The following is an 11,176-nucleotide window of genomic DNA, read 5'->3' on the forward strand; positions in this document are numbered from 1 at the left end:
TCTAAAACAGAAAAATAACATGAGGTAAACACTAAGGAAATCACAATAATCTACAGATTTCAGCTAACAATGCATCAATATTGGCTCATTAATCGTAACAAATGTATCACACTAATGTAACACGTTAATAATGTGGTGGAATGAATATGGGACCCCCGTACTGTCTTTGCAATTTTCCTATAAGTCTAGAAGTGCTTTAAAAACTAAAGTATATTTAATGAAAAACAATATAGTGTAAACTATTTTTAGAAGATATATATTTACTGGCCGAGTGCAGCGGCTCACGCCTGTAATCCCAGCACTTTGGGAGGCCAAGATGGGCTGAGGTCAGGAGTTCAAGAACAGTCTGGCTAACATGGTAAAACCCCATCTCTACTAAAAATACAAAAATCAGCCAGGTGTGGTGGTGAGTGCCTGTAATCCCAGCTGCTCGGGAGGCTGAGGTGTGAGAATCTCTTGAACCCAGGAGGCAGAGGTTGGAGTGAGCTGAGATCACACCACTGCACTCCAGTCTGGGTGACAGAGTGAGACTCCGTCTCTACAAAATAAAAAGATATATATGCATAGGAAAAAGTGTGGAAGTGGAAAGATATATGGCAAGGTGTTAATGTTTTTCAGTCAGGTTTATTGAGTTATAATTTATAAATAATAAAATGTACTATTTTTAGTGTACAGTTCTATTAATTTTAATAAAACATATACTCATGTAACTACCACCACAATCAACATATAGGACATTCCCATTAGCCCTGATGCTTTTTGTAGCCCAGATCCTGGCAACCACTGTTTCTTTCCCTATAGTTTCGGCCTTTTCTAGGATATCATATAAATGAAATCATACAGGATGTACCCTATTGATTAAAATTGGGGTTTTCCCCTTTAGAATGTGAAATTTTGGATAATAATTTCCTTACTCTTGTTATATTGGTTATTTACATTTTCTAACTCTATAATAAACTTTACTTTTGCAATTTAGAAAAATAAAAGTAAAAAAATTATGATGGGTATTGTAATAAGAGAGGCAATAAAACTAACAGATTACATATGAGGACAATTTTTGTTTTTGATATTTAAGTTGCAGAATTACTTTACTAAGGAGTTAAATTTTATTTTTATTTTTATTTTTTTGAGATGGAATTTTGCTCTTGTTGCCCAGGCTGGAGTGCAATGGCACAATCTCAGCTCACCGCAACCTCTGCCTCCTGGGTTCAAATGATTCTCCTGCCTCAGTCTCCTGAGTAGCTGGGATTACAGGCATGCGCCACCACGCCCTCCTAATTTTGTATTTTTAGTAGAGACGGGGTTTTTCCATGTTGGTCAGCCTGGTCTCAAACTCCTGACCTCAGGTGATCTGCCCACCTTGGCCTCCCAAAGTGCTGGAATTACAGGCGTGAGCCACTGCGCCCGGCCTTTTTTTTAGACAGAGTCTCGCCCTGTCACCCAGGCTGGAGTGCAGTGGTACAATCTCAGCTCACTGCAACCTCCACCTCCCAGGCTCAAGTGATTCTCCTGCCTCAGCCTCCTGAGTAGCAGGGACTATAGGCATGTACCGCCACGCCTGGCTAATTTTTGTATTTTCAGTAGAGACAGGGTTTTGCCATGTTGGCCAGGCTGGTCTCAAACTCTTGACCTCATGTGGTCTGCCTGCCTCAGCCTACCAAAGTGCTGGGATTACAGGCATGCACCACCATGCTCAGCCCAAGGAATTAATTTTGAGAGACAACAGAAGTTAAGAGGTGAGCTCTAGGATTAGCCAGAGCTAGGTAAAAATCCTAGCTGTACTACTGGCTGGTTGTGTGACTTACAAAAGGCTAGTTAGTATATTTTACCTTCAATAATCCTCACTTTCAAATTGGGTTAAATACAGTACTTGTCTTCTAAGGTTTTGAAAAGGCTTAGATGGTAGCCGGGCATTGTGGCAGCACCTGCAATCCCAGCTACTCAGGAGGCTGAGGCAGAAGAATCGCTTGAACCCGGGATGTGGAGGTTGCGGTGAGCTGAGATCGCGCCACTGCACTCCAGCCTGGGCAACAAAGGGAAACTCCGTATCAAAAAAAAAAAAAAAGAAGAAAAACCAAAAAGGCATAGATGAGACTGTGCATGTAAATCACGGGTATTTATTAACTTTAAACTGCTGAAATTATTTGTATTGTTTATTTGGCTATTCTTGCACTCTTGATATTTTTGTTATCTCTGTTGAGCTCTGGAGGTGTTTAGATATGGAAGAGCATTCTACGTCAGGGAACAGAATGTGCAAAAACAGAGTCATGGAAGTGCCTCCAAAGACAGAGAATAGCAAGTGGCGGCAGAGTAAGGGGGTGTGGAGATCACAGAGCCCAGGCATAAAGGACCTGGTGAGCCAGTTTAGCTTCATCCTTAGGCCTGAAGACAGGAACGGTTTTGTTTGCCCAAAAAGGTGTATGTGTCTATATATACATATGAACACACACACACACACACACACACACACACACATCTCATGTCTCTCATTGAACCTTTATGCCAGGTTAGTCCCCCCTTCCTCCCCTCCCCATGCTACCAAAGCATTTTATTCCTGTCTCCATGACTGCACTTTACCACATGGTGCATTGTGATTGCTTGTTTACAAACCTGACTCTCCCAATAGACTGTGAACTCCTACAGACTGTCTCCCACCTCACAGCTAACCTCTGAGGAAGGTCTCATTATGACTCCAACTTCACAGGAAAGAAACGGGGTTCTGAGAGTTCAAATTATTTGCCCAAAATTACACAGCTAGAACTAGGATTTGAACCCAGGCAGCCCATCTCTGAACCCAGTTTCCTGGCTAACACTAACATTCTATAGCATACATAGTAGATGGTAAATAAATATCTAGATCCTTCCCTTGTTCAACAGTTACTGGTGGTTAAGGGAGAGAGGCCCCTATCGTGGCCACAGATGAGTATGGATCACAGGAAGGGTCACCCTTGCCCCTCCTGACCCCCCAGTCATGCTTTCTATTCAATGCTCTCACATACAGCACCTCACCTAATGCTTACAACAAAACCATGAAGTGGGTAAAATCATCCGTTTTCGCAGCTTAGGAAAGAGGGGCTCAAAGACTTTAACTCACAAAAGGAGAACTAGTTAGGTAGCAGAGTTGGAACTCTGTTCCCCCAACAATAAGTCCAGGACTCTTTCCCCTTCACTCTCATGACCTCATATCTAATGCTCTGGGAGAGGAAAGAGGGTAGAAGGGGTGTCCAAAGACAACTACTTTGAGGTCGAAATTGGACTCTTTCTTAAGGACATAAGACCATCATCTGGAGTAGGGGCCCCTGGTAAGTCCACTATTGCCATGGCTGTGGTACATGAACCACAGTGGGTTGTCATACATCTGAACAAGTTAGAACAAACCATAATACAGGGCAATATCCCTTCCATTTTCCCCTCCCTTTTCATGTAAATAATTATGTAAAGTCAAATTCTTCCCTGTTTTTTCTTTCCAGGTCTCAGCTCAGTTATTTCCACCCCAGCAATCTCTTTCTCACACCCCACAAGCATGTACTTGTTAATCCTCTTCCACCTTTTATTAACCATTATCCAGTTACTCAAGTAAATCTTTCTCTTTCTGACAGCGTTTGTTCCATTTATAAACTCCAAAACAACTCCATTACAGTTGACAAGCACAAAAGTACTATTCATCATATACCTAAATTAAGGGAAAGACCAGCCATTTACCTTGAACCGTTCTAGACTCAGAGACCACCATGTACCATCCTAGATGGTCATCAGATGTCCCCTTCACAATCTTCTCAGATGGTTCAGGTCCTTCTTTATCCTAAGCTAATGAAACTGTAGTGTACAGTGGTTAATGTGCTTGTGGTTGGTCCAAATCCCATTTCCACTATTCAGTAGCTGTATAATTTGGAGCAGCTGTTTAACCTTTGCCCCAATTTCCTTATCTGTAAAGAGGGATCATAAAGGAATCTGCCTCTTAGGGTTACACGAACTAAAAGGGTTAATTCATATAAGCACTTAAGAATGGTCAGGAACAAGGCAAGAGCAAAATAAACATAGGTTATATTTTTTCAAACATGAGCATTCAATATTTAAAGAGCTTTTCAATGGGCGGACATGGTGGCTCACACCTGCAATCCCAGCACTTTCGGAGGCTGAGGCAGGTGGATCACTTGAGGTCAGGAGTTCGAGACCAGCCTGGCCAGCATGGTGAAACCCTGTCTCTACTAAAAATACAAAAATTAGTCAGGCATGGTGGTGCGCACCTGTAGTCCCAGCTACTTGGGAGGCTGTGGCATGAGAATTGCTTGAATCCAGGAAGCGGAGGTTGCAATGAGCCCAGATGACACCACTGCACTCTAGCTTGGGCGACACAGCAAGACTCTGTCTGAAAGAAAAAAAAAAGCTTTTTAAATTTTTACTCTTAAAAAATACAACCTTTTTTTTTTAAAAAAAAAACATACTTTTAACTGCAAATACAGTGTTTCACTCATATAATCAATTAATTATATACCTTTACTAGGTAACCAAAAGACCTGACTGCCACTCATAATATTGTTTCTATGGAAAATTTATTTGAGTTCAGGAATTTATTTACAAATGAAATTTTGAAGCACAGTTTACCTGGAAGACAGAATGTTTATATTAAATATCCAAATGTGTATAAATCTATATCTCATTTGATTTACCAGAAAGTCCTTTACATTTTGAAAGAGAATTTACTTCCTAAGCAATTCATCTGTTTCTGTTATCATAGCTGCTATGGATCAGGTACTCCTGGAAAATATAAATTAGAGGGTGAAGGGGCCTGGGATCTTTTCCATTGTTCACAGGGTCTGGCTTTTGCAACCAGACTCACAGGTGCTGTAAAACACTGCATGTATATAAAATAATTAGGCTTTACCATCTGCACTTGCTAGAGAGCTCAGTTTCCCGAAGATAAGTTACTCAGCTGAGGGGCTTGACTCCAAACTGGTAGAGCACAAAAAGCAATCAAGTTAGACTTACAAGAAAGCTGCCCCTGCCTGCTAATTCCTTTTTATCTCTCCAAATAAGGAAACACCATTTTTTGCCTTGCAGACTTGAAGTTCTGTTTTGTTTTATTTATTTGTTTATTTATTTAGAGATAGAGTCTCACTCTTATCACCTAGGCTGGAGTGCAATGGCACCATCATGGTGCACTACCACTTCGAACGCCTGGGCTCAAGCAATCCTCCTGCCTCAGCCTCCCAAATCGCTGTTAACTACAGGTGCACACCACTGTGTCAGGCTAAATTTTTTATTTTTGGTAGAAGTGGGGCCTCCCTTAACGTTCTGTTATTTTGGAATTAACAGTAACAACAGAATATTTGTTGGTAAGGTTGCCAGATTTAGCTAAGGAAATTACAGATCTCTCAGTTAAATCTGAATTTCAGAAAAACAAGGAAGACTTTTTTAGTGTATGCACTACATATTGCATGAGACATATGAATAAAGTATTCCTTGTTTATCTGAAACTTAGATTTGACTGGCCATTCTACTTAATCTGGTTACCCTGTTTGTTGAAAGTTAATTACTTCTTTATGAAAAAAAATAGGGTCTCACTGTGTTGCCCAGGTTGGTCTTGAACTCCTGGGCTCAAGCGATGCTTCCATCTCAGCCTCCCAAAATGCTAGGATTACAGGAATGAGCCACCGTGCTTGGCCTGGAAGTGAATTACTTCTAAACATATTACTGCTCTCTGTCTCTTTCTGTCCCTGTGTCTCTCTCTCTCCTCTCTCTCACTCTTTCTCACTCTCTCTCTCACAAACACACACACACACAGATTTTCATACTTTGAAGAAATCCATACATTTTGTAAACAAAGCACACCAATTTGTATTTACCTTCAAGGTTTAGGAAACTGGTTGAATTCAGGAACTACCAATAATTCTCATTTATATTGAAATTGGGGAATAAATCTATAATCTCATGTAATCATATTCTATCACTTACTTAGTTCTGTACAATTATAGAAATGAGCTACAGAATTGAATTTTTATTTTAAATACATTTCTGTTCTCCTTTCTCAAAAAGTAAATGGAATCTGTGGTCTCAAAACAATTTAATATGATAAAATACTGCCACCTGGAGATCAGAGGCAGGTATGACTAAGATGAACCTGATTTCCAATTCTGGAATAAGAAATGTGAGTTATGTTGACACTTGATTTAATAATGCCATTCTGCCACTTGGTATCATATGAATCTAATTTTTCCTCATTTATTCATTCATTTAATGAACATTTGTTAAGTTTCTGTTACATGCCAGACACTATACTAAGCTTTGAGAATATAAAGATGTATACGACCTACTTCCTTCGAGCGGTTTGTCATTTTCCCATTCAACTTGGACTTAGTCTAAGCTCCTGCTTCATCTGACACAGTTCAGTTTTTGGACTTCCTTATTGTTACACACATTTCATCTTCAATCTCCATGAAATCTCCCAAAGATGTGGAACACAACCCCTTTTCTTTGATTATCATAATGATTCATTCATGACAAGCTGTGAGCTTATAGAGGACTTATGTTGCTGTCTGGGAGCATGGGGGATGTGTGTGCCTGTGTGTGTGTCAGTGTGTGCATTTACAGTAACATTAACAGTTGCAAATTGAATAACAGACTTTCTCTTTTTAAAGTCTTCCTCCTTCCTACCACTTTGACAGGCCTTTCTCCCTCTGCCTCTGACCTCTTTTTTTTTTTGGCTATCTCTTAGCAATAATCCCAACCCCCAAACTCACCCCAGTGAACAATTCTTCCAACTTTATTATACAGAATAATTCAATGTTCTCAATCTCATATCCTTAAACTCAGCCTCCTGCCCACCTGTGCACATCCAACTCTCAGACAACACAATGGGTCTTCTACCTAGAGTCTCATCCCTTCTCTTGCCCCTATATTTAATATTTCCCCACTGACAGGAATTATGCCAATTTCTTAAAATTCAGAGTGGTAGCAGTTTGGGTTTTAAACAAATACTTTAAAATAGAGATATAAACGAAGTGTTATGGAAGCTTTTTCTTTGCTTCCCTTCCTCCTTCCCTCTCTTTCTTCTCCTTCTTTCCTTTCTTCTTTCTCGCCTCCCTTCCTTCCTCTTCCTCTGCTATATTGTAAGCTATCTCTACACATATTTCTTAGCAGCCTTGTGGTTCTCCATGATAATACTGCTGAATTTGGACTAAAATTCAAGAAAAAGAGAGAAAACTGAAGGAAGGGTTGTAATGCACTACTGCCAGTCTGCTTACCCATGATATCCTTTGCTGTCTGGTTAAGTCTGTAACACAAACCTTCTTCTAAAGCTGGAGTGTTCATGTGGCAAGAACCAAGAACCTGGATACAGGATACTGGGAGAACGAATCATCTTCCTATCTTGCTGATAACCATCCCCTAATCCTGTTTACTCTTGGCCTTAAAAAGGAAGTCTGAACTTGAAGTTGGATTAAAAGTAAATTTTGTAGAATCATAACCTGAAACCATCCCAAATATTACGTTTTTTTTTGTTTTGTTTTGTTTTTTAAAGAACCAATCAGTCAATGATTCCCCTAAGCTTTAGGATGGTTTCCTTCTTCAAACCACTTGGCAGAAAGGCCGGTGTAGCCAGAATTGCTCTGCTAAGAAAAAAAGAGCACTTGCCTGGGCAGTAGTGATGCCATCTGATTAGCATTATGACTGGGCCTACTTTGGTTTAAAGAGGGGTTGCTGGAATCACTTTACTTTCGGAAATAAAATCAGGAAGTTTCATTCATTCCTACCTCATTTATTGAGCACCTACTTTATGTTATGTTCTTTGCAATGTGCTTAGGATACAAAAATCAAATAAAACATATTTGCCCTCAAGGAAGTTATAGCCTAGTGATGAAGGCAGTTTATAAAAAACCATATATGTAGGAATGTTGTAAATGTCTATCCATATAACTTATTATTTTTTTTTTTTTTTTGAGATGGAGTCTTGCACTGTCACCAGGCTGGAGTGCAGTGGCACAATCTCGGCTCACTGCAACCTCCGCCTCCCATGTTCAAGCGATTCTCCTGCCTCAGCCTCCCGAGTAGCTGGGACTACAGGCATGTGCCACCACACCCAGCTAATTTTTGTATTTTTAGTAGAGACACGGTTTCACCATGTTGGCCAGGATGGTCTCCATCTCTTGACCTTGTGATCCGCCTGCCTCAGCCTCCCAAAGTGCTGGGATTACAGGCATGAGCCACCGCACCTGGCCCATATAACTTTTAAAGTCTGATTTTGCCCCTTGTTTTTCCAAAGCCATTAACAACAACAACAACAACAAAATACTTAAATTGGTAAGGGCCTCTGTGTTCATTTTTGGGCCTCTCACTAATACTTAAGATGTACAGCCTAGAGGCTGGGCACAGTGGCTCATGCCTGTAATCCCAGCACTTTGGGAGGCTGAGGCGGGGGGATCACGAGGTCAGGAGATGGAGACCTTCCTGGCCAACATGGTAAAATCCCGTCTTTACTAAAAATACAAAAATTAGCTGGGTGTGGTGGCACCTGCCTGTAATCCCAGATATTCAGAAGGCTGAGGCACGAGAATCGCTTGAACTTGGGAGGCGGAGGTTGCAGTGAGCCAAGATTCTGCCACTGCACTCCAGCCTGGTGACAGAGTGAGACTCTGTCTCAAAAAAAAAAAAGTGTACAGCCTGGAGTAGACAAGAGATGGGGTTTCCCCCAACTCCCGGTCTGGTGCACTTTCCATGACACCATACCATGCTCCTCCATAAATGGTGGCTCCCAGCTCTTCACCACGTGGTTCTTCCTTTCACTATTAACAGTTCCCAAAAGGCTTGCTCATCTACAATAGCACAGCTCTGAAGGCCTTCAGTGCTGGATAGTTCAGATCCAGTCTCTTGGCACCCTTTTTAGAGGGTGTCTCAAGGAATCTTACCAAGTTTTATAATAGTAGTCATAGTACAGTATGGCTTTTGAAATAACTTATTTTTTCAGGTCTGAGCTGTAAAGCAAGCCTATATAACACCTCACTATGGCCCATTTCTCTTAACTGGCCTTCCTGTTTCCATTCTTCTATAGAATAATCTTTTAAAAATGTAACTTAGACCATGTCATGCCTTAAAACTCTCCAATGCCTATTGCTGTGCTTAGGGGAAAAAATACAGATTTCTTATATTGGTTTAAAAAACCCTTCCTGACCTGACCCTCTGGCAACCTTGGGGACTTCATCTCATACTACTTCTTGTCCCCCTGCACTCCAGACCACTACGCTGGCATTCTTTCAGTTCCGTGAACATGCCGAGCTCATTTCTGCTTTATGACTTCTTATCTTTTTTCTTAGCTGTTTCCTGAGCCAGACACGCAAAGAAGCATTAAGCAGTTACTATCTTGGCCAAGGCATTCCGGCATCAGGGGAAATGGAAGTGGAAGCACACTTAGAAAATGATGGATAGGCTTCTGGGTAAAAACAAACAAAAACAAGAAACAAACAAAAAACATCTCTTCCCTATAAGAACCACAAAGGACAATACAGGAATGACTGTGCTTCAGGCACTGAGAGTATCCATTTGCTTTGAGATACCTGCCTTCCCCTTTAGAGCAACAGTCCCCAATCTTTTTGGCACCAGGGACCAGTTTAGTGGAAAACAATCTTTCCATGGATGGGGCGGGGTGGGGGTTGGGGATGAAACTGAAACTGTTCCACCTGAGATCATCAGGCTTTCGTTAGATTCTCATAAGGACCACCGCCCACCTAGATCCCTTGCATGCGCAGTTCACATTAGGGCTCAGGCTCCTATGAGAATCTCATGCCACTGCTGATCTGACAGTAGGTGGGAGCTCAGGTGGTAATGCTCCCTCACTGGCTGCTCACCTCCTGCTGTGTGGCCCAGTTCCTAACAGGCCACGGACTAGTTCCAGTCTACAGCTGGAGGCTGGGGACTCCTGCTTTCATAGCGCCCTAACTTTCTGAAGGGAAAGGACAATGCATGTTTGTAGCTCAACTAATGAGGCTGTACAAGAGAGGCTTCCAAACCCATTCATCACCTGAGGACCTTACAGAAAGAGAGGTTCCTGACTCAAGTAAAATGTGAAAAAAGTTATGACACTTCTGATTCGAATGGAAACTTGAATACTTACTGAATATTTAATAACATTAATCATTCATTGCTGCTTAGGAATCATAAAGGCATTGTGGTGAAGTCTTTAAAAGTTTTAATCTTTTAGCAATCTATATTAAAATATTAGGGATTAAATTATATCTGAGATTTACTTCAACATAATACTAGAGACTGAAAAATGTCAGAAGAGGGGCTTTTTTTTTTTACAGGTTTCATCTGAATACATATTTATCAGATCAATATTACAGGTTATCACATTATCTACTACATACAGCTTTGCAAGACAGAAATCACAGTTTTCTGGCCAAGGTATGAAATGATTGCATTGTATATACAATGTACAAGGACAATGACAGTTTCTGGGTGATTTACTTCTAGCTGCACTTGTGGGTGTGTTTACGCGTGTCCATGTGAATCACCTGAGATTATGATATCAAAAATTTATAAGTATAAATTCGGTTATAATTTTCTTCTCAAATGCCTGTTTCTTTTCTTATCCTCATAGCACCCTAAAAAATAACATAACAAAAATTCCATTCCATAAAGGATCAGGGTCAACGTCACTGGTAACAGCTATAATCGACATCATTGGCCAGGGGTTAATGGCTGGATGAGGGATTCATTATAGTCTTCTGTCTTCCTCAGTATATGTTTGAAATTTTCCATAAGACAAATTTTTTTTAAATAGAGATTTCTGGGCCCCCAGCAGATTTTTCTCTCAATGGCTCTCCACTGCCACTACTAGGAAATTCGCCAGCAGTATTCCTCCTTACCTACCTATGCTATACAATGTATGAGTACTGGGAGGCAGGGGAAGGGTCTTGTTAATCAAAGCTCCCATCCTCTAAATATAATCCTCAGGAAGAAAGTATATGATTGGAGTAATTTATACAAGGTCTGCATTTAACAGTTAATCCAAAGAATGGATGCTTACAGTTTAAAGGAATTAAAGGAAAATCTAGAAAATCTGAAAGATCATTTCTCTCAGGGAGGAACTCTAGATTTTAGATTAAAGAAATCACACTTGAAACTGTACCTCTACAACAACTCTATCTTGCGTCACTCTGTCCCTAGCCCAGTACAATTCACC

The 11,176-nt window shown here is 40.7% G+C and overlaps 1 long non-coding RNA gene across 3 annotated transcripts in view, besides 1 other annotated feature; it reads right to left on the minus strand.

The window, feature by feature from the left end:
- CCDC28A-AS1 (CCDC28A antisense RNA 1) overlaps positions 1–11,176 on the minus strand; it is a 48,489-nt gene that overhangs the window by 34,795 nt on the left and 2,518 nt on the right. For all 3 annotated transcript variants that reach the window (NR_161205.1, NR_161203.1, NR_161204.1), the window contains exon 2: positions 4,248–4,369. This is a non-coding gene — a long non-coding RNA (CCDC28A antisense RNA 1). The remainder of the gene's footprint in view (positions 1–4,247; positions 4,370–11,176) is intronic.
- Positions 8,677–8,736: an enhancer, noted in NCBI's record as "active region_25160". NCBI's record gives its function as "activates an Ori minimal core promoter by ATAC-STARR-seq in GM12878 lymphoblastoid cells {active_cell/tissue: GM12878}" and the evidence as "EXISTENCE:reporter gene assay evidence [ECO:0000049][PMID:35858748]".

This window comes from Homo sapiens, chromosome 6 (genome assembly GCF_000001405.40).
Source record: "Homo sapiens chromosome 6, GRCh38.p14 Primary Assembly".
Taxonomy (NCBI): domain Eukaryota; kingdom Metazoa; phylum Chordata; class Mammalia; order Primates; family Hominidae; genus Homo; species Homo sapiens.